We start from the raw sequence: 24,486 nt of genomic DNA, 5'->3' as shown, positions 1-24,486 counted from the left end.
AAACAGACTTCCTAGTTTTCTTTGCCCATTAGCCTGGAAGGCGCCCACGTTGAATCCACTTCTTTCATTCAGTGACCCTGGTGAAATGTCTGGTGCTCCCATCTTCTTTCATTCCCAGCAACACTTATTAGAACCCAATGAGGAGCTTTAGACTGCTGGTTGACTAGTGCTCCCCCACATACTCCCAAGTCACTCAGCTCCCTCTAAGGCGTAGTGAGGGTCTGTGCCAAGATTGCACACATCCAAAAGCCCAGCATGAATCACTCTTACGCCCCAGGGTTGCTAAAATGATTGAATCAGTGAGTTGAAAAGAACAGTGATTTTGTTCCTTTTTATCTCCCTGGGAAGTGGGGTGGGGAAGGGGATTAGGATGAACCCATCTATTTTAGGTGCTTATTTGCAGAATTAACGTCCCCCTAGGTAAGTGATGCCTTGGCTACAGTATACAGCTTTGCCATTAATGAGAGGGAAGTGGAACTGTTTTCATTCTTCTTGCAAGACTGAGAAGGGCGATTTTTTTGAGGCTAGCACCATCGTGTGGATAAAGTGAATACAGGTTTTGTTTGTTTGTTTGTTTTTTTTTTGGAGGGGATTGCATAACAGTCCACTCTAATATACCTCTGGAAACGCAATTTTGTTATTTTCTCATCTATTTCTTATATCTTTTCTGAGTCCTCATAGAGCAGCCAGAGATAAAAATAATTTTTGCAGCCGTGCCATATAGTGCTGGGATCCTAAGGATCATGTGCTTCTACAAAATGACTGACTGAACTGCAGGAACATGACAGTGGGAAATTCACAGAGCAGTTTTGGATCAGACAGAGCATAAATTAGAAAGCACATTTGGGATTAGCCACTGGGCTCTTCGGTGGAAGTTACCAATTTGGACTTTGTGAGAAATGCCAAGGCCTGTTACTGAGGCAACTTTCTAACCATTATTGTCCAAGAAATGCAAGCTACATCAGAGGGAAAGAGGAGAAATAAAAATCTGATTGCAGGATGCAAAATAATTTTACCAAACTGCATGGTTCATCTCCTGTGGAGTGAGAAAGTAAGGTGGGGTTTCTCTGATTATTTTGGAATCTGAATGAAAAGGGAAAAAGAACAATGTGGAGAAGCTCTGTTGACTTGTGGCTTTAAGTCTTAAGAGCATGATTGGGGGAGTGGGTGGCAAAGACAGGAGAAAGATTTTTTTTTTACCTCTGTAGTGGTCTTTCCTTTGTAGCTGGCACAAAGGTCCCTAGAGAGGGGCTGAGTCTGCCTTTCCTCTTTTGTAGTGTTTTTCCTCATTTCCAGATTGGCTGGTATGTGGGCGTAGGGAGGGCACAAATAGGTGGAGGTAGGGAGAGCTTTTGCTTATAAGGATTTAGCACCATTGAACACCTAACAAATCACTCTGCCAGTATTATTATTTCCTTTGCACAGTTCCCTAGCCCCAAGGGAAAAGGTTTTACTGGCACTTAAAACAAGAATCTGAAATTGTAGAAATCTGGGGGAGTCAAAACCAAATCAAGAGGTGCTGACGTTTGCTCTCTTTGATGAGCTACTAAAGTGATAGGAACATGCACAGAACAGTCCTCCCCACCCACCACTCACTCTTGTCTTCACACATTCCCTTCCCTTCCTTCCTTCCCAGAACTGGGCTGGCTTGTACAGCGATAGATATTAATATCTCTGGAGTTTCAGATTGAAAGACCTCCTTGTGGCTGAATACGGGCTGATGACGATCTGAAGGGAGTTTTTAGGCACATGTGAAGCTTTCCTCTGTAGGCAGCCATTTATGGAACTGAAGTGTGATAGGAAGCTGGGTGGACCAGCTGACATGGTAAGTGCAGATGCAGGATCCCAGAGATTATCAAGCAGCTGGAATGAGAGGTTGAATCAAAAGCGCAACCAATTGCAATGACTATCAAGTCGTATATTTAGTATATTTGGTATCCTTTTAGCATAATCTTTTTTAACTCTTTCCTTACATCCATATCTGAGGGTAGGGGCACCAGGTAAAAAGCCATGAGAACAGTGAGACTCCAGCTCAGGGAATATGTGAGCCTTGTTTCCTACTAGCCACTGGAAAATCTTGTCATGCTTCTCCTCCTCTAGTTCCTGACTCTCTTAGCCGGATCTTGCATTGTCCTTTTTATTGAACACTGTTTTAATCTGGAAGCCTGCTAATGGAGGCCTGGGAGCCTCTTGGGCCCTTTTCTCTGGGGTCACTAGGCTTTCACTGTAGACTTCTCCCTCTCTGTCACTGTATTACTTCCCTCACCTTCCAGCTGGGCCACAGGGACACCAACAGTGGATCCTCTGCTCTGCAGAGAAAGACTGGATGGAGGAGAGGTTTAAATTCTTTTTTTGAGTTAAGGTTGGTTCCCCAATTTTATAAAACTAGATTAAGTCGAGGATTCTGGGAAGATGGTAGAGCAGGAAGCACCAGGAATCTGTCTTCCTACCTAGACAACAACTGCACTGGCAAAACCTGTCTGATCTAGAATCTGTTTGAAGGCTTACAACTTCCAGGGGAAAGTTTGGATGACAAACTGGGTAAGTTCAGCTTTTAGCAGAGTAGCAGCTACCCATCTCCCATGCCCCACCCCAAGGGCAGGCAACACATCCGTACCCATTGTGGGAGCCGGGTAAGCCTCAAAGCCCTGTCCTTCATAAATTGGGGATCTATGATCTGATCCATGATTGCTATTTTTGATCTTGGAGATGCAGACACATAGGTAGGCAGCCATTGTTACACCCTCCCCACACCATTGCAAGGCTCTCCCCCAAAGCTGAATTAACTTTCAGAGGATTTAAAGGGTCAGCACTCTTTTGATATTCTACCCCCAATCTCCTATCCCTTCATTGTAATCTGGTTTTGGGAACCAGATATTTAAAATCTAAGACATTCAAAAGTAACCACATATACAGAGAAATTCAGAGAGTTAATGTGCATACCCAGGGACAGTAGACCCTTTTGTGCATGCAGGCTCAAAAGACCTGTGAAGATGCTGACACCTCAGGCTCATCCCTCGCAGACAGTCTATAACAATCAAAAATAAAAAAAAAAACCCAAATTAGCAAACCCTGGGGAAGGAGGAGAAACTTCTTTTCCGAATTACTTCATTATAATCCAGATGTTCAATTTTCAACAAGAAACATCACCAAGCATATTAAAAACTGGTAAAATGTGGCCCCCATTTAAAAAAAAACAGAAACCCCAAGAAAATCCAGATGGTGAACTTGCTAGACAAATACTTTAAAGCAACTCTCATAAAGATGCTCAAGGACTTAAAAGATCTAGAAAAAGTAAACACAACAATGTATGAACAGAATGAAAATATTGATAAATAGAAACTGTAAAAAAATAAACTAAAAAGAAATTTTGGAGCTAAAAAATATCATAACTGAAATGAAAATATTTTAATTTTTTAAAAACTTTTATTTTAGGTTCAGGGGTACTTGTGCAAGTTTGTTATATAGGTAAATTCATGTCATTGGGGTTTGTTGTACAGATTATTTTATCACCCAGGTAATAAAGCTAGTACAAAATAGTTATTTGTTTCTGCTTCTCTCCCTCTTCCCATCCTCTACTCTCAGGTAGTCCCCAGTGTCTGATGTTCCCCTTTTGTGTGTCCATGTGTTCTCATAATTTAGCTCCCACTTATAAGTGAGAACATGCAGTATTTGGGTTTCTGTTCTTACGTTAATTTGCTAAGGACGATGGCCTTTAACTCCATCCATGTTCCTTCAAAGAACATGATCTAGTTCTTTTTTATGGCTGCATAATATTCCACAATGTATGTATACCACATCTTTAAAATCTAATCTACCATTGATAGGCATTTAGATTGATTCCATGTCTTTGCTATTGTGAATAGTACTGCAGTGAATGTATACGTGCATGTGTCCTTACGATAGAATGATTTATATTCCTTTGGGTATATACCCAGTAATGGGATTTCTGGGTCAAATGGTATTTCTGTTTTTAGTTCTTTGAGGAATCACCACTCTGCTTTCCACAACGGTGGAACTAATTTACACTCCCACCAACAGTGTATAAGTTCCTGTTCCTTTGCAACCTCTCCAGCATCTGTTATTTTTTGACTTTTAATAATAACCATTCTGACTGGTGTGAGATGGTACCTTACTGTGGTTTTGATTTGCATTTCTCTAATGACCAGTGATATTGAACTTTTAAAAAATACACTTGTTGGCCGCATGTATGTCTTCTTTAAAAAAAGTGTGTGTTCATGTCCTTTGCCCACCTTTCAATGAGGTTGTTTTTTTCTTGTAAATTTGTCTAAGTTCTTCATAGATGCTGGATATTAGACCTTTGTCAGATACATAGTTTTGCAAATAATTTCTCCCATTCTGTAGGCTGTTTCTTGATAGCTACTTTTGATGTGCAGAAACTCTTTAGTTTGATTAGATCCCATTTGTCAAGTTTTGCTTTTGCTGCAATTGCTTTTGGAGTCTTCATCATGAAACCTTTGCCAGTTCCTATGGCCAAAATACTATTGCCTAGATTGTTTTCCAGGGTTTTTTATATATTTGGGTTTTACATTTAAGTCTTTAATCCATCTTAAGTTGGTTTTTGTACATGGTGTAAGCAACGGGTTCAGTTTCAATCTTCTGCATATGGCTAGCCAGTTATCCCAGCACCATTTATTGAATAGGGAGTCCTTTCCCCATTGCTTGTTTTTGTCAGCTTTGTCAAAGATTGCATGAAATAAAAAAATTATTGAAGGGATTCAAAAACAGATTTGAGCAAGCCTAAGAAACAATTGAGGAACTTGAAGATAAGACTATTGGAAGAAAAGTGAAAAGGTCCTAAGGGATCTGTGGGACACCATCAGACCAGCATACATGTTGCGGAAGTCCTAGAAGAAGAGAAAGAGAAGCAGAGAGTATTCAGAGAAAGAATAGCTGAAAACTTTCCAAATTTGATAAAAGACATAAATGTAAACATTTATCAAGCTCAAAAAATTCCTAGTAGGAACTCAAAGAGGCCCACACTGAGACACATTATAATCAAACTGTGAGAAGCCAAAGTCCTTCAGAAACATTTAAAACTGTTTTTCAAAAGTGAGAGAGAAATGAAGATGTTTCCAGATAAAAGCTGAGATAATTCATTACCACTAGACATGTCCCACAAGAAAAACTAAAAGGAGTCCTGTAGGTTGAAATGAAATGTTCCATATGCACTTGAGAATATTCAAGACAGTAACTGGAAGCTCTATGGAGAAATAAAGATCTCAGCAAAGGTAAATATCTGGGCAATTATAAAAGCTAGTATTATTGTAACTTTGGTTTGTAACTCTACTTTTTGTTTTCTACATGATTTAAGAGACTAACATTTTTAAAATTACTATTCTAAAAGCTAGTATTATGGAAACTTTGATTTGTAACTCTACATTTTGTTTTTTAAATAGTTTATAAAATTGATGCATAAAACAGTTATTTATGCTTTTGGACACACAACGTATAAAGACGTAATTTGTGATCAATAACTGAAAGGATGTGAGGATGGAGCTGTATAGGACCAGAGGTTTTGTATGTTAGTAAAGTTAGGCTGATATAAATTCAAATGAGAATATTATAACTTGAGGATGTTAAATGTAATCCCCATAGTAATCATAAAAATGGCTATAGAATATATACAAAAGGAAATTAGAAGGAAATTACAGTGTTTCAATATAAAAATCAACTAAACACAAAAGAAGACAGTAATGCAGGAAATGAGGGTGAAAAAAGATAAAAGGTATATAGAAAAATATAGCAAAATGACCAAAATCAGTTTATCGTTATCAGTAAGTGCTTTAAATATAAATAGATTAAACTCTCCAATCAAAAGACAGAGATTGGCAGAATAAATTTTAAAAAATCCCACACACACATGATCCAACTATATGCTGTCATCGAGCAATTCACTTTAGATCCAGAGATATGAATAGGTTAACAGTAAAATGATGGAAAAAGATATTCCATACAACTTGTAACCACAAGAGAGTGGGAGTGGCTATACTAATATCTGGCAAAATTGACTTCAGATTAAAACAATCACAAGGAACAAAGAAGGTCATTATATTTTAATAGAAGTTTCTATACAGGAAAAAGATATAATAATTTTACACCTACTAACAGACCATCAAAATATATGAAACAAAAACAGAATTGGAGGGAGAAGTAGATTTACAATAATTGTTGAAGACTTTAATAGCTCACTGTCAGTAATGGATAGAACAACCAGACAGAAGATGAATAAGAAAACAGAAGACTTGAACAACACAATTAGCCGATTAGATCTAACAGACATATACAGAACACTTTATTCAACAACAGCAGAATTAACATTCTTCTCAGGTTCATATGGAACATTCTTCAGGACAGACCTATGATAGATCAGAAATTAAGTCTCAATAGATTTAAAAAGAGAGATATAATATAAAGTATCTGCTGTGGTCTGAATATGTTCTCCAAATTTATGTGCTAGGAACTTGGCAGTGTTGAGAAGTGGGGCTTTTGGGAGAACTCTCTCCTCATGAATGGATTAATGCTCTTAGAAAAATGGCATGCAGGAGTGGGTTTTCTTCTGCTCCTATGCTGTGTGAGGACCGTGTTCATCCACCTTTTGTGCTTCCCTATTCCACCATGTTAGAATGTAGCAAAAAGACATTCATAAGATTCTGGCACCTTGATATTGGACTTCCCACCTTCCAAAACTGTTCTTTGTAGATTACCCAGTCTGTGGTATTCTGTTATAGCAGCACAAATGTATTAAGAGATCCTCTTCCCTAACTATAGTGGGATGAAGGAAGAAATCAATAACAGAGAGAAAATTGGAAAATTCATGAATTTGTGGAGAAACACACTTAAACAACCAATGTATCCAAGATGAAATTACAAGGGAAATTAGAAAATACCTTGAGACAAATGAAAATGAAAACACAACATACTAAAACTTACTGTATGCAGCAAAAACAGTGCTGAGGAGGAAATTTGTAGATATAAATATTTATATTTGAGAAAAATCTCAAATAAACTACTTAAATGTATAATAATTTAAGAAAGTAAAAAAAGAACACACTGAACCCAAAGCTAGCAGGAAGAAACAAATAATAAAGATTAGAGCAGAAATTTTTTTGTTTAATAATAGAGAAAATTAGCATAACCAAAAGTTGATTCTTTATCAACAAACTGACAAAGCTTTGGCTAGATAAACTAAGAAAAAGAAGACTCAAATTACTAAAATCAGAAATTAAAGGATTATTATTGATGCTACAAAAATTAAAAGGATTATAAGAGAGTACTATGAATAATTTTAACACATTGAATAACCTGGAAGAAATTTATAAATTCCTAGAAACACAAAACCTACCAAGACTGAAGCATGAAGAATTAGAAAACCTGAATATACCTATAAGTAGTAAGAAGACTGGCTTAGCAATAAAAAATCCCAATAAAGAAAACCCTGGGCCTGATGGCATCACTGGAGAAATGTACCAAACATTTAGAGAAGAATACCAATTCTCAAACTTTTGAAAAATATCATACAGGAGGAATTACATCCTAACTAATTCTATGAGGCCAGCATTGTCCTGATACAAAAGCCAGACAAAAACACTGCAAGAAAAGAAAACTACAAAACAATATCCCTTATGAACATTGATGCAAAATCTTTAACAAAATACTAGCAAACTAAATTTAACAGCATATTAAAGAGATTATACACCATGACCAAGTGGAATTTATTCCTGGAATGCAAGGATGGTCCAACATGTGAAAATTGATCAATGTAATACACCACATTAACAGAATAAAGGCAAAATTACAGTTATCTCAATTGATGCAGAAAGGGCCTTTAACAAAATTTAACACCATTATGTGATTTTAAAAACACTCAACAAACTAGGAAGATAAGAAAACTACCTCAACATAATAAAAGCTATGTATGAAAAAACTCACAGCAAACATCATACTCAATGGTGAAAGACTAAAAGCTTTTCCTCTTAGATCAGAAACAAGGAAAGGATGCCCATGTTTGCCATTTCTATTCAACATAGTACTGGAAGTTGTAGCCAGAGCAATAAGGCAAGAAAAAGAAGTAAAAAGGCATTTAAATTGGAAAGGAAAAAGTAAAAGTATCTCTGTTTACAGATGGCATGATTTTATACATGGAAAACTCTAAAGATTTCACCTAATAAAATTGTTAAAATAATAAATGAATTCAGCAAAGTAGCAGGAAACAAAAATAAACAAAAATCACTTGCATTTCTACACACTAACAATAAACAATCTGAAGAGGAAATTAATAAAATTTCATTTACAATAGCTTCAAAAATTATAAAATGCTTAAGTATTAACCTAGAAAGTAAAAGAGAAACAAAGAAAATTATGAAACATTGCTGAAATAAATTAAAGAATAAATAAATAGAAAGACATTTTACATTCATGGATTGGGAGACTTAAAATTGCTAAGATGTCAATGTTACCCAAAGTGGTATACAAATTCAGTGCAATGCCTATCAAAATCCCAATGACTTTTTTTTGGGCAGAAATAGAAAAGTTTATCCTAAAATTTACATGGAATCTTAAGAGACGATAAATAGCTAAAATAATATTTAAAAAGAAGATGGGAGGCTTATACTTCCTGATTTCAAAACTTACTAAAAAGCCACAGTCATCAAACCAGAGTGGTGCTGGCATAAAGACAGACACATTGGCCAATGGAACAGAATAGAGAGCCCAAAAATAAATCCTCACATATATAGTCAAATGAGTTTTGATAAGTGTGCCAAGACAATTCACTGGGGGAAAGGTTAGTATTTTCACCATACAGTCCTGGGTAAACTGTATGACCACATTGCAAAAGAATCAATTTTGACCTTTACATAACATCGTATGCAAAAATTAACTCAAAATGGATCAAAAGCCTAAACATAAAATATGACACAGGACAAAGTCTTTATAACACTAGATTTGGCAATTTTTTAGATATAGCACCAAAGGCCTAAGCAACAAAACAAAAACAACAACAAATTGATCTTCATAAAAATTAAAAACTTTTGGCCTCAAAAGACTTAATTGACAGAGTAAAAAGGCAACCCACAAAATGAGAGAAAATATTTGCAAAGTATATGTCTGATAAGGGATTAATATACAGAATATAGAGATAACTCAATAATAACAACTTAATTAAAAATAGGTGAATGACTTGAATAGACATTGCTTCAAAGACGATATAAACAAATGGTCAGTAAGCACATGAAAGGATGCTCAACATCACTAATTATTAGAAAAGTGAAAATAAAAAACATGGTGAGATATCACCTTACACACATTAGGATGACTACTATCAAAAATACAAAAAATGTATGTTGATGAAGGTGTGGAGATATTGGAACTTTTGTGCACTATTGGTCAAAATGTAAAGTGGGGCAGCTACTGTATGGAAAACAGTATGGTGGTTCCTTAAAAAATTCAAAATAGAATTATCATGTGTTTCAACAATTCTCCTTCTGGATATACAGCCAGAATTGAAAGGAAAATCTTGAAGAGATATCTGTACCCCGATGTTCATAGCAGCATTATTCACCATAGCTAAAATGTGGAAGCAACATAAGTGTCCATTAACAGATGAATTATTCAGTCTTAAAAAGAAAGGGAATCTTGTATGCTGCAACATGGATGAAACTTGAAGACATATAAAGTGAAATAAACCAGTCATGAAAAGACCAATACTGTGTAATTCCATTTATATGAGGTACCTAAAGTAGTCAAATTCATAGAAAGTAAATTGGTGTTTTTCAGGGACTGGGAGAAAGAGAAATGGGGAGATATTGTTTAATGGGTACAGAGTATCAGTTTTGCAAGATAAAAAGACCTCTGGAGATGGATGGCAGTGATGGTTACACAAAAGTGTGAATGTACTTAATGCTGCTGAACTGTACACTTAAAAATTATTAAGATGAAAAATTTCGTATGTATTTTTTACCACAATAAAAATGCTTGATTTAAACACACACACACACACACACACACACACACACACACACACACACCATCCCTTACCCCCCTTGGCTCTTTTTTCGCTTCCATCAGAAAGAGTTTTATTCAGTTATATTTCAAATTTGAAAATACTTTTATTGGGGTTTTTCTTTATGGCTTCTAAGCAGAAGCTGAGTAATCACTAGGCTGGTCAGTATGTACATTTCTACATTCATTTAATTTCTATTTGTTGAATGTTCACTATGTGCAAGCCTCTCTTTAAAAATATATTTGAGAGATTGAACTAACTGCCCTTCAAAATCTCTTATAAACCCAAGTTTCTATGATTCTGTGTGTTCTGCCTTCTAGTACTAGTTATCTGTGTAACCCAACTTCTCTAGAACTCAATTGTCTCAGTTGTTTTTTTCTAGTTCCAAAATTCTACAGATTTTCAAAGCATAAGGATGATAATGGCACATTACTTCCTTCACTGGACCATTTATTTCTTGAGTGGAAAGGTTCCAACCAAGATATTAACTCCACAGAGAATAGAGTACAAGTTAATTTTAAAAAAAAAGCTGATATGAAAGAAAAGCTAATATGAATTAGTGAGAAATTGAGTTTCAGAATCTTTTAAAATAAATACACTCTCAAGAACATAACTTGATTTTAGAAAAGATAACAGAGTGTTTTCAATTAACAGGAATGACCAAGGCAAAACGTCCATCTACTTGCATCAGAATGGAGATGCAGATGCAGATAATGAATTAAAGGGACTCAAAGAAGGTCACTATTCTGCCTTGAATTTGTTTTCATGGTTCTCTGAGAAGTGTCTAGAGGTGAGAAAGTCAATTTAACTGATTATTTTCTAAAAATAGAATAAACAGAAAATTTTGTTTAAAAAATATTTTCTTAGCATAGTTAAGTACAACATTTTCTATAGCTATCCACAGTACTTTAAGAAATTTACAATGTACTGCTAGAAATTTGAGTGAAACTTAGGAATTTTATGTGCTTTGGATGAAAGATGACAGCAAAAAATTATACAATTTTAGTTCATTTGCATTAAAATATTCTTACAGCAGAGCATGGAATCCAATAAAACAACCCAGGGAAAATCATTCTAATTTTAGGAGAAAAATTAACACCTACCTACCCTACAACCTCACAATTAAAATCTGGTGGAATTCTATAACCTTCCACATGGTTTGCCTCTTGTGTGGTGGGAAAGTGAGAGGGAGCTTTTATTGACTTCTTTGAGAGAATGAAGAGGAAAGAAGACAACACTGTTGAAGAATCTTCTATAATCTAGATGTCAGAAGAAGCCACCCACTCTTTGATTCTAAGATTGCCTTGCTCCATCCCCCATTCTATGTTCTGTTCTGTTGTTTTTTTTTTTTCCCTGAACATTTCTACAAATACTTTCTTCTAGTATTTGTGGAATACTTCATTCTATAACTAATGGCTATTTGTTTATCTCCAATCCAGCATTGACCTAAAGTTCAGACATGACTCTTTCTTTCTTCCAAAATTCACTTGTAAGAGTAGTTTAGTCCATTTCTCCTGCTATAACAAAATACCATAGACAGGGTGAGTTATAAACAACAGAAATGTCTCACAGTTCTGAAGGGTGGGAAGTCCAAGATCAATGTGCTGGCAGATTTGATGTCTGGTGAGAGCTGCTTTCTGCTTCCAAGAGGGCAGCTTGTTGCTGTGTCCTCACAAGGTGGAAGAGTGGAAAGGCAAAAAAAAAAAAAAAAAAAAAAAAAAAAAGACAAATGTTCTCTGCAGCCTCTTTTTTAAGGACATTAATCACCTCCCAAAGGCCCTGCCTTGTAACTCCATTGCCTTGGTGATAGGTTTCAATATTTGAAGTTTGAAAGTACACATGCATTCAAACCATAACAACCAGTCAACAAGAAGCAACTTGCACAAGCAAATATCTACAACTATGTGTGGCAGATTTTACTGGATATTGAGGTAATCATGTACTCATGTTGCAGCGCTGTTTAGAAAATATTCTAACATTGAATATTAGCTTTTCTGGTCCTCTGAAAGTCCCTTCTCCATTTCCACCAACTTAGATTTCAGAGTCTCATGACATTGTTCAGCTTTCTCTCCTACTGCTTCTCTGTCTCCCAGTTGTGATAAAAAAAAATCCTTATATTATTATGAAGAGCATTTTAGCTCTAGCACTTACCACCTCCTCCCTCATTCACACTTTGCACAGCTTAAGATTTATTAATGTGCTTTGCTAAAAAAAGCTTCATGTATTTCAAGTGTTACCCTTTCTTCTCTACCCTGCCCCCCTTACTTTTTACAGAAGCATGGAGAGGAATATGAAGCTTTATTTCCCCAGAAGCAACACTTAGAATACGTAAGACTTAGAAGAGTTAGATGAGCAACATGTATCCTCTCATGACCTCAGAAGACATAAGTGTAGTTGACAATCTCAGCACTTTGGGAGACCGAGGTGGGTGGATCACCTGAGGTCAGGAGTTCGAGACCAGCCTGACCAACATGGTGAAACCCCGTCTCTACGTCTCTACTAAAAATACAAAAATTAGCTGAGTGTGGTGGCAGCCACCTGTAATTCCAGCTACTTGGGAGGCTGAGGCAGGAGAATCACTTGAATCTGGGAAGCGGAGGTTGCAGTGAGCCGAGATCATGCCATTGCACTCCAGCCTGGGCAACAAGAGCGAAACTCCATCTCAAAAAAAAAACAAAAAAAAAAACAGTAAAAAGAAAAAAAAGGACTCACAAGACTGGGATCTTATTCTAGCTCTGTCACTAGTTAATTGTGTGATCTTGGGAAAGTACCTCATGGTACCTGAGAAATAATCTCTAAATTTCTTGCCAATTCTATGAGTCTGTGATTTGAGAGTCCCTCTGGTGCCTAGTTCTTCTATAAATGTAGTCAAGGTTGGGGTTTCTCCCTTCACAGGTAGGTGAACTTTCCCCTACCTTGGGCTGTGCCCCAACATCTCCCTGGCCAGCCATCTGCTCAATGCCTGTTGTCAGAAGCAATAGAGATTTTACAGACAGGCCAAGCTTTGGGGCCAGATACAGGCATATATCCTGTTTTTTTTCAACTCAGAACCTAGGTTGTGCTGTTTACTCAGTGAATCTGGCTTATTTGTGAACTGAAACTGCGCATAATGATATCTACCTTAGAAGATTGTGTAAAACAATGATGCACATGAAGCACTAAAGTGAAGTGCCTAGCACATCGTAAGTGCCCATAAATGGAACATTATCATGTTTGTATAAGGGGGAAAGGTGAGTGTCATGGCAAGCACATGACATGCTCTTTCTGGGTCTGCTGACACACTTGCATGTATATGGAAGAATGAACTCAGCTTACTGTACGGATAGCTCCCAAACTTTAGTTTTACTGGGTAGAAAATAAAAGTTAAGAGAGAGAGCTGAATGGTTCTAGGCAGCAATTTATTTTAGGCTACGATGAGGAGGGGAAAGGTAGATTGATTAAAGAGATGGGAAGAGAGAGGACTATGAATAGAAAAAATAAAACATGTCCAAGGGGATGATTCAGTTTCTGCAGTATGATGACTGACAGGCATCCTTTGCCTTTGTCTCCATGAATCATATATAAATATATATATACACACACATATATATATGAAATATAATATCTATTATATATGTCTGTTATATAATATAACTCAATATATTTATATATTATATATTTATATATATTTATATATTATAGATATTTATATAATTATAAACATAGATCATATAACATATGTGTTAATATATTATATCTGATATATATCATATACCTACTATATATCTATATTATATGTTAGATATAATATATAATTATATATTATAAATTATAGTATATATAATATATTAAATAATATATAAACAATTATATATCATAATAATATATAATATCTATTATATATAGATAATATATAATATCTATTATATATAGATAATATATAATACATAAAATATCTATTATATAATAGGTGTTATATATATTTGTATATAATTGTAATATATAAGATATAGAATTATAAAGACATAAGATTATTGTAACCTAATATATGTGGCATTGTGGAGTGAGATCTATCTCTGGCACTTGTCAAAGTGTGAAGTCCTGCTTCAGTGTGCGCATAGGTGTAAGGACAGAGACCTCATAAAGAAATTCACTGAGGATGCATATTCTGAAGATTTAAGGTGGATTAAAATGGTAGGTAGTGTCTCAGCCCTTGGGATTGATACTCAAATACTTTATCATCCACATCTATCTGTTTTCCACATCTATTCTCTTGAAGCTCAAATCTGGCTACAGCCTATGTACCTGTGAAAAATGGGACAAGTTTGCTGTTATCTTGGACCTTGGTCCATCTGTTCCGCATCTAGCAGGAATATAATTTACTTACATGAATGACTAGCTTCTGAAGAGATCTTGCAAGTGTCATGGAATAGTGGCCTCTACTGTTCATGAGGGAAACAGGCTACTGTGGTCAAATCATAAGGGAATACACTGCTTCAAAGGCCAATGCAGGCTGCTCCGTTGTCTGTAATGATTAAGACACTGTTGGGAAGGCCAGCTGCTGGCATCTATAGCCAGTCTCTTCTGTAAATATTCATCAGGAGAAGCAAGCCAGCCAGCCAACAGCCGTTTATCTCCCCTACAATAGTTTCTAGTCAGGCTGTAACCTCATGCTACATAAAAATGTTACCTTCCCAGGTCTGCACTGTAAACACAGAAAAGCAGCTATTAGTTTTGCTCCTTATCAGAAATGTATTTTGTTTTCTATATTTTCAGAGACAGGGTCCTGCCATGTTTCCCTGGCTAGCCTTGAACTCCTGGGCTCAAGTGATCCTCCCAACCCCGGTCTCCTGAGTAGCTGAACCTACATGCGCTTGTCACTGTGCCCAGCTAGAAAGGTTTTTTTAAAGCAATGATTTTAACCATTGGGTGTTGCCTTTAAGACCTCTGTTTCTGAGTATTATAAAATCAAAAATTTTAAATCATTTTAAGGAAGCAAAGTTAATAGCTGCAGTAAAATAAAAGCACATAAAGTGGCAGCTGTTCATTGTCAAAAGTTTACACTGGCGAGGAATCTTTCTCTCTTTTCCTTTCTTATCTTTTAAAATAAAACCATTTAAAATACCACTGAATCTCCTTCTACGGTAATACTGTTACATGGCAAAACTATTCTGCTGGCTTGCTCCGCCTTCTGGGACCAGTTTTTTTTTTTTTTTTTTTTTTTTTGCTGGCTTTCTCTACCTTCTGAGCAGAAATTTGTACTTTGTATTCTCACCTTCAGCAGCTATATTCTGGGTATGATTCCAAAGAATGCAGTCAACATTTACCTTTACTTTAAACAACAAAAGGGAAAATGTTATGGATTTTAAGCTGGCAGTGGAGATTTGATTCTTCTACAATAACTTTTGAACTGTTTTCTCAGCATTATTCTGCTTAGCTACAGCAGAGAAAATAGAGTGATGAATAATGAAATATTCATGAAAGAAAAATTTTAAAAAAAGTTTTCTTAAAATAAATTGATTCTAAAACCACAATGTGTGAAAGCACTTTTTTATGATGCCAACTTTCAGATTCATGGGTTTAGAGGGTGTGGATTTGTTGCATTATCATGTGGCAGGGTGCTGGTAAATGGGAGCCTACCACATTTTGACAAGAATGAAGTCCAGTTTGATGTAGCATTGGCCACCCAGTGGGAACAAACTTCCAGGTTCCACTGAATCTCAGAGTTCCACTGCCATTCAGTGTAGAAAGAAAGACACTAGATTTTTTTTTTTTTTTTTTTTTTTTTTGCCAAGATGGCTGACTAGAAGCGGCTGGTGTGCGCCGCTCTCACAGAGAGGAGAAAGAGTGGCGAATAAGGCGAATAAACATTAGCTCTTCAACTGGATCATGCAGGTGGACAAGTTGGGATTCATCGGGGAAGCAACACAACTCATGGAGAACGGAGAAGAGAGAGACAGGACAGCTACCCACCCAGGATCGGCAGGGAGCCGGGAGAGGCTCCCCACTGCCGGGAAATGGGCCTCTAGACTGACATGAGCTGCTTGGAGCCTGGGCAGAGCCACCACTCAGGCACACGTGGCTTCCTGAGGATCTTAGACCCCTGGGCACCCTGGCACCAGCTATTGCAGCTCTGGCGGTGGGGGCAGCAAGACTCCTTCACACCTCCCTGGGATAGAGGCTGAATCGACAGGGCTGAGGAGTGGACGGACCGCAGGCCTTACCTCCACTGCACCCCACCAGCCTAGGCCCACTGGCCTAGGACCCTAGTGCAGCCGCCGGTACCGCCTGAACTCTCTGGCCTCTGCACTTCCCTGGGATGGAGTTTCCAGTAGTGGCAGGCAGGCCCCTTAGTTTTCTGGCTTTGCAGCTCCCAGCTCCCGCTGCCCTCAGACTCAGGAGGGAGCAAATCAATTAAAGACTAACATAGCCCCCAACACAGTGCAGCTGTCTTATGAAAAAGTGGCCAGAATGTTTTTCATAAGACACAGTGCAGCTGTCTTATGAAAAAGTGGCCAGACTGTTTTCCATGTGGGTCACTGCCCCCACTTACCCTCAGTGGGCAGGGCCTCCCAACCTGGGACCCCAGCCATCTCACCCCTCCTGGGGTGCTGGTAGCAGCTCTGCCCTGCGATGGAGCTCCCAGTGGTGGCAGACAGGCCTGCCCTTTTTGGCTGCTCTGGAGCTCCTGCCCTTGCTGCCCTGAGGCTTGGGAGAATGTGAAAAGATAAAGGACTAATGCAGCCCTCCACCGAGCACAGCTGCCTTAAAGAAAAGTGGCCACTCTGTTTTCCTCATGGTTCGCTGTCCCTACTACTCCTTATTGGGCAAGGCCTCATAACCTGGGTCCCCACTCACCCCATCCCCGCTTGGGTGCTCAGGCAGGTTCTAAACCCACAATGTGTGAAAGTAGTTTTTTATGATGCCAATTTTCAGATTCATGAGTTTAGAGGGTGTGGATTTCTTGATCTGTCGTGTGGCAGGGTGCTGGTAAATGGGAGCCTACCACATTCTGCCAAGAATGAAGTCCAGTTTCATGTGGCATTGGCAGCCCTGCACTGCCCTCGGACAGAACTCCCAGCAATAGTGGGCAGACCTGTTATTTTTGTTCTCTATAGCTCCTGCTCCTGCTGCCCTCAGGCTTGGGAGGGAGCAAAAAGACTAAGGACTAAGGACTAAGGAGGACCTCCAGCACAGCACCGCTGCCTTACGGAAAAGCAACAAGACTGTGTTCCAGGCAGGTCCTGTTACTCCTCACTGGGCAGGGCCTTTGACATAATTAAGATCTGTGTCCCTGCCCAAATCTTATGTTAAATTATAATCCCCAGTATTGGAGGTGGGGCCTGGTGGGAGGTGATTGGATCATGGGGAGGTGGGGCCTGGTGGGAGGTGATTGGATCATGGGGGTGGATTTCCCCCTTGGTACTCTGTCATGATAGTGAGTTCTCACTAGATCAGGTTTTTAAAAAGTGTGTGGCAATGCCCCTCGACCCACCTTGGTCCTGCTCCTGCCATTAAGATGCCTGCTCCTGCTTTGCCTTCCACCATGAGTCAAAGCTCCCTGAGGCCTCCCCAGAAGCAGATGCCGCCATGCTTCCTAGCCGGCCGAACCGTGACCCAATTAAACCTCTTTTCTTTATAAATTACCTACTATCAGGTATTTCTTTATGGCAGTACAAGAATGGACTAATACAGCCTCTCAAACGGGGCAACCCAGCACAACAACCTTGCCTCTGCCTGAACACATCAATCGATGGTGGCTCTGCATTTCCCTGGAAAGGAAATCCCAGAGACAACCCTCAGGCTCTCTTGCATTGTGGCTGCAGTGGTACCACCCTTACTACCCTTGGGCAGGGGAAGGAACAAAGGGCCTGGTCACATTGCTGGCACCTCCAGCATGTCATAGCCACCCTATGGAGAGGAACTCAGACTCTTTTTCCTGTGAGCCCCCACCCCCTAGTCTTCACCAGGCAGGGTCCTCGGCTGAGGGCCACAGAGCAGCTGCCCCACCCCTGACTGCGCATTCCCACTGGTAGTAGCTCTGTGTTTCCCTAGGACCGAGCTCTGAGTGGCAACTGACAATCTCTCTGCCATTGCCACTGCAGCAGTTTTGCCCTTGTTCCTCTTGGACTGGGGAAGGAACAAAGAGTCTGAGGGCTTTATTTGTGCTCCAGCACGCCACAGTTACCCTAAGGAAAGGAGCTCATTCTGTCTTCCCTGTAAGCCCTGACACCCTGCTCTTTACCAAGCAGGGCTCCTGGCTCAGGCCCACAGTACAGTTGTCCCAACCCTTGGCTTAACGTTCCCGTTCCCGTTGGCAGTGGCTGTGTTTCTCTGGAGTGGGGCTCCCAGAGGCAACTGAAAGCACCTCTGCCACTGCTACTGCCATTGTAGGGGTACTGCCCTTGCTGACTTCAGACTGGGAAGGAACAAAGACCCTGAGTGCCTTACACCTCTAGCATGCTGCAGCCTCCATAAGGAGAAGAGGCAAGTCTGTCTTCCGCATGAGTTCCCTGCCCCCACTATTTGTTGCCAGACAGGGCCCCCAGGTTAAGCCCACACAGCTGCCCCACTCCAGGCCAGTCTCCCAGATTGGTAAGGGCCCTGCATTTCTCTGAGGGTAGAGCTGTAAGAAACAAGTGAAAGACCTTTTGCCATTGCCACTGCTGAAGTCCCTGGCCCTGCTGTCCCCAAGCCAGGCAGGCAACATAAAGGCTGAGCTTGCCCCAAGGCTGTGGATATGCAACCCAGGAGTGCCAAACTGAGATCTTCAGTCAACACTTGAGTGGGAGAGGAGTCCACACTCTCAAAGCACAGAGATGGAGCATGGCTGCAAACACAAGGAAATACAGAGGAGCCACGTGGCTAAGCAAGAGCGTATCTACTGGCTATTACACTTAAGTGCCATCTACTGGATCAGAACCCAAACTTCAACACCAAAAATACTTTGCTAATATACACCCCGTGAAACCAAGGACAAGAATTCAGCTACAAAAGACCCTGCACGAAGCCTCAGCCTGCTGAAAACATCCAGAAATGAAGACAACAGACTATACTCAAATTACACCACAATTAAAGGAACACTAACCCACACAAATAAGAACCAGCACAAGAACTCTGGCAGCTCAAAAAGCCAGAGTGTCTTCTTACCTCCAAACAACTGCACTAGTTCCCCAACAATGGTTCTTCACCAGGCTGAAATGGCTGAAATGACAGACATAGAATTCAGAATATGGATAGGAACAAAGATCATCAATATTCAGGAGAAAGTTGAAACCCAATCCGAGGAATCTAAGGAATACAATAAAATGATAGAGGAGATAAAAGGCAAAATGGCAATTTTAAGAAAGAACCAGGCTGGATGCGGTGGCTCATGCCTGTAATCCCAGCACTTTGGGAGGCCAAGGTGGGCAGGTCACTTTAAGATAGGAGTTTGAGACCAGCCTGGTCAACATGGTGAAACCCTGTCTGTATTAAAAATGGGCAAGGTGGCAGGCACTGTAATCCCAGTTACTCAGGAGGCTGAGGCAGAGGAATCATTTGAACCTGGGAGGCGGAGGTTGTAATGAGCCGAGATTGTGCTATTGCCTGGGCAACAGAGTGAGACTCTGTCAAAAAAAAAAAAAAAAAAAAGAAAGAAGAAAAAGAAAGAAAGAAAGAAACCAAACTGATCTGATGGAGCTGAAAAACTCACTTCAAGAATTTCATAGTACAATTACAAGTATTAACAGCAGAATCAACCAAGCTGAGGAAAGAATCTCAGAGTTCAAAAACTACTTCTCTGAAGTAACTCAATCAGACAAAAGTAAGGAAGAAACAAAAAGAATTGACAAAACTTCTGAGATACATGGGATTATGAAAAGAGACCAAACCTATGACTCATTGGCTATCCTGAAAGAGAGGGAGAGAAAGCAAGCAACTTGGAAAACATAGTTACGGACATCATCCACGAAAATTTCCCTAACCTTGTTAGAGAGGCCAACATTCAAATTCAAGAAATACAGAGAACCCCTGTGACATACTGTACAAGATGACTATCCCCAAGACACACAATAATCAGATTTCCAAGTCTGAAATGAAAGACAAAATATTAAAGGCATCTAGAAAGAAGGAGCAGATCACTAAAAAGGGAACTGCACCAGACTAACATGAAGGAAAAAATAAGATCTTTTTTTTTTTTTTAAGATGGGGTCTTGCTCTGTCACCCAGGCTGGAGTGCGGTGGTACAATCTCAGCTCACTGCAACTTCCACCTCCCAGGTTCAAGCGATTATCCTGCCTCAGCCTCCCGAGTAGCTGGGATTACCAGGCATGTACCACCATGCCTGGCTAATTTTTGTATTATTGGTAGACACAGGGTTTCACCATGTTGGCCAGGCTAGTCGCAAACTCCTGACCTCAGGTGATCCACCCACCTTGGTCTCCCAAAGTGCTGGGGATTACAGGCGTGAGGCCCCATGCCTGACCAAGATCTTTTTCAGACAAGCAAATGCTAAGGGAATTCTTACCCGTAGACTGTCTTACAAGAGGTCCTTAAGGGAGTGCTAAATATGGAAAGGAAAGACTAATATTGTCCGCCACAAAAACACACTGAAGTACACAGACTGTTAACACTATAAAGCAGCCTAGGCAATCAAGTCTAATAATAACAAGCTAAAATCAAACCGCAACTGATCAATATTAATCTTGAATGTAAATTGGCTAAATGCCCCAATTAAAAGGCAAAGAATGTCAAGCTGAATAAAGAAAGCAAGACCCAACTCTATGCTGTCTTCAAGAGAATCACCTGACATGTAATGACACCCATAGACTTAAAGTAAAGGGATGGAGAAAAATCTACCAAGTAAATGGAAAACAGGAAAAAGCAGGGGTTGCTGTTCTAATTTCAGACAAAACAGACCTTAAACCAATGGTAATCAAAAGAGACACAGAAGGACATTATATAATGGTAAAGAGTTTAATTCAACAAGAAGATCTGACTCTTCTAAATATATATGCATGCAACACAGGGACACCCAGATTTATAAAGCAATTTCTTAAAGACCTACAAAGAGACTTAGATAACCAAACAGTAATAGTAGGAGACTTCAACACCCCACTGACAGTATTAGATAATTGAGGCAGAAAACTAACAAAGATATTTGGGACCTGAACTCAACACTTGACAAAATGGGCCTAACATACACTTAACAGAACTCTCTATCCAAAAACAACAGAATATACGTTTTTCTCCTTTGCATGGGCACATACACCAAAATAGACCACACAATTGGCCATAAAACAATCCTTAGCAAATTTAAAAAACCCAAATTATACCAAACACACTCTTGGATCACAGTACAATAAAAATAGAAATCAATACCAAGAAAACTCCTCAAAAGCACACTGTTACATGGAAATTAAACAACCTGCTCCTAAGTAACTTTTGTGTAAACAATGAAACTAAGGTAGACATCAAGAAATACTTTGAAACTAATGAGAACAAAGATACAACATACCAGAATCTCTAGGACACAGCTATAGCAGTGTTTAGAGAAAAATTTATAGCATTAAATGCCCACATCAAATAGAAAGATCTTAAATTAGCAACTAACATAACACCTAGAGTAACTAGAGAAACAAGAGCAAACCAACCCCAGAGCTAGCAGAAGACAAGAAATAACCAAAATCAGAGGCAAACTGAAGGAAAATGAGATGTGAAAAACCATACAAAAGGTCAACACATCAGGAGTTGGTTTTTTGAAAGAATAAGATTAGTAGATCACTAGCTAGACAAATAAAGAAAAAAAGAGAAGATCCAAATAAACACAATCAGAAATAAAGAGGACATTACCACCAACCCACAGAAATACAAACAACGCTCAGAGACTGCTACTAATACCTTTAAGCACAAAAACTAGAAAACCTAGAATAAATGGATAAATTCTTGGAAACCTACGCCTCCCAAGTTTGAACCAGGAAGAAATGGAATCCCTGAACAAACCAATAATGAGTTCTGAAATTGAATCAGTAATCAAAAGCCTACCAATCATAAAAAGCCCAGGATCAGATGAAGTCACAACTAAATTCTATCACATGTATAAAAGAAAGCTGGTACCATTCCTATTGAAACTATTTCAAAAAATTGAGAAGGGACTCCTCCCTAACTCATTCTATGAGGCCAGCATCTTCCTGATACCAAAACCTGGCACAGAAAGAACAAAAGGAAAGCCTCAGGAGAATATTCTCGATAAACATAGATGCAAAATTCCTCAACAAAATATCAGCAAACAAAATCCAGCAAGACATCAAAAAAATAATCAACCACAATCAAGTAGGATTAATCTCTGGGATGCAAGGTTTGTTCAACATACGTGAGGCAATAAATGTGATTCATCACATAAACAGAACTAAAACCAAAACCACATGATCATTTCAATAGATGCAGAAAAGGCCTTTGATAAAATGCAAAATCTTTTCATGTTAAAAACCCTTGATACACTAGGCAATGAAGGAACATACCTCAAAATAATAAGAGCCATATGTAACAAACCCACAGCAAACATCATACTGAATGGGCAAAAACTTGAAACATTTGAGAATTGGAACAAGACAAGGATGCCCACTTTCACCACTCATATTCAACATTGTACTGGATATCCTAGCCAGAGCAATCAGGCAAGAGAAAGAAACTAAAGACATAGAAATAGGAAGAGAGGAAGTCAAACTATCTCCTTTTGTAGACAAAATAATTCTATATCTGGAAAACCCCATAGTCTCAGCCCAGAAGCTCCTTCAGCTGATAAACAACTTCAGCAAAGTTTCAGGATACAAAATCAATGCACAAAAATCACTGGGCAATGCACAATAGCCAAGCCGAGAGCCAAATCAGGAATGAATCACATTCACAAGTGCCAGGAAAGGAATAAAATCACTGGGAATACAGCTAACCAAGGAGGTGAAAAATTTCTACAATGAGAATTACAAAACCCTGCTCAAAGAAATCAGAGATGACATATTCAATGCTTATGGGTAGGAAGAATCAATATTGTTAAAATGGCCATACTGACCAAAGCAATTTATAGATTCAATGCTATTCCTATAAACTGTCAATGGCATTCTTCACATAATTATAAAAAACTATTCAAAATTCATATGGAACCAAAAAAGAGCCCCAATAGCCAAGGCAATACTAAGCACAAAGAACAAAGCTGGAGACATCACATTACCTGACTTCAAACTATACTACAAGGTTACAGTAACCAAAACAGCATGGTACAAAAAAAAAAAAGGAAAAAAAGAAAATAAAAACACATAGACTGATGGAACAGAGTAGACACCCCAGAAATAAAACCACACACCTACAATAGTCTGATCTTTGACAAAGTTGACAAAACAGGCAATGGGGAAAGGACACCCTATTCAACAAATGGAACTGGAATAACTGGTTAGCCCTGTGAAGAAGATTAAAACTGAACTCCTTCCTTACACCATATACAAAAATCAATGCAAGCTAGGTTAGAGACTTGTATGTAAAACCTACAACTATAAAAACCCAGAAGGCAACCTAAAAAAGTCATTGTAGACATACGTCCTCACAAAGATTTCATGATGAAGCTGCCAAAAACAATTGCAACAAAACCCAAAAATTGTCAGATGGAATCTGATTAAACTGAAGAGCTTCTGCACAGCAAAAGAAATTATCAACAGAGTAAACAGCCTACAGAATGGGAGAAAATATATGCAAGCTATATATCCAATAAATGTCGAATATCCAGAATCTATAAGGAACTTAAACAAATTTACAAGAAAAAAACAACCCCATTAAAACGTGAACAAAGAACATGAACAGACACTTTTCAAAAGAAGACATACATATGGTCAAGAAGCATATGAAAAAATGCTCAACATCACTAATCATCAGAGAAATGTAAATCAAAACCACAAGGAGATAACATCTCACACCACTCAGAATGGCTATTATTAAAAACTCAAAAAATAACAAATGCTGACAAAGTTGCAGAGAAAAGAAAATGCGTATACATTGTTGGTGGGACTGTGATATGGTTTGGCTGTGTCCCCACCCAAATCTCATCTTGAATTCCCACGGGTTGTGGGAGGGACCCGGTGGGAGGTAATTGAATCATGGTGGCAGGTCTTTTCCATGCTGTCCTCATGATAGTGAATAAGTCTCAGGAGATGGTATTAAAAATGGCAGTTTCCATGAGCAAGCTCTCTTCTCTTGTCTGCTGCGATGCGAGATGTGCCTTTGGCCTTCTGCTGTAATTGTGAGGCCTCCCCAGCCACGTGGAACTGTAAGTCCAATAAACCTCTTTCTTTTGTAAATTGCCCAGTCTCAGGTATGTCTTCATCAGCAGTGTGAAAACAGACTAATACAGTAAATTGGTACCAGTAGAGTGGGGCACTGCTGAAAAGATACTCAAAAATGTAGAAGCAACTTTGGAACTTGGTAACAGGCAGAGGTTGGAACAGTTTGGAGGGCAC

The 24,486-nt window shown here is 38.8% G+C and overlaps 1 protein-coding gene across 5 annotated transcripts in view; it reads right to left on the bottom strand.

Moving 5' to 3' along the window:
• TMCO5A (transmembrane and coiled-coil domains 5A) overlaps window positions 1–24,486 on the bottom strand; it is a 106,226-nt gene that overhangs the window by 44,436 nt on the left and 37,304 nt on the right. For 2 of the 5 annotated variants that reach the window (NR_163585.1, NM_001370737.1), the window contains exons 13-14: window positions 2,944–3,028; window positions 1,394–1,863 (exon numbers count right to left, since the gene is read on the bottom strand). Coding sequence is in view for 4 of the 5 variants with exons in the window: in NM_001370737.1 (NP_001357666.1) it covers window positions 1,779–1,863; window positions 2,944–3,028 (170 nt within the window). In the remaining variant the exon portion in view is untranslated. Of the gene's footprint in view, window positions 1–984; window positions 1,864–2,943; window positions 3,029–24,486 lie in introns of those variants that run through there. The other 3 variants (XM_047432176.1, XM_047432177.1, XM_011521262.3) reach the window with 2 other exon arrangements.

This window comes from Homo sapiens, chromosome 15 (genome assembly GCF_000001405.40).
Source record: "Homo sapiens chromosome 15, GRCh38.p14 Primary Assembly".
Taxonomy (NCBI): domain Eukaryota; kingdom Metazoa; phylum Chordata; class Mammalia; order Primates; family Hominidae; genus Homo; species Homo sapiens.
Note: the sequence above shows the minus strand (reverse complement) of the source record. Positions and strands in the feature narration are given on the sequence as shown.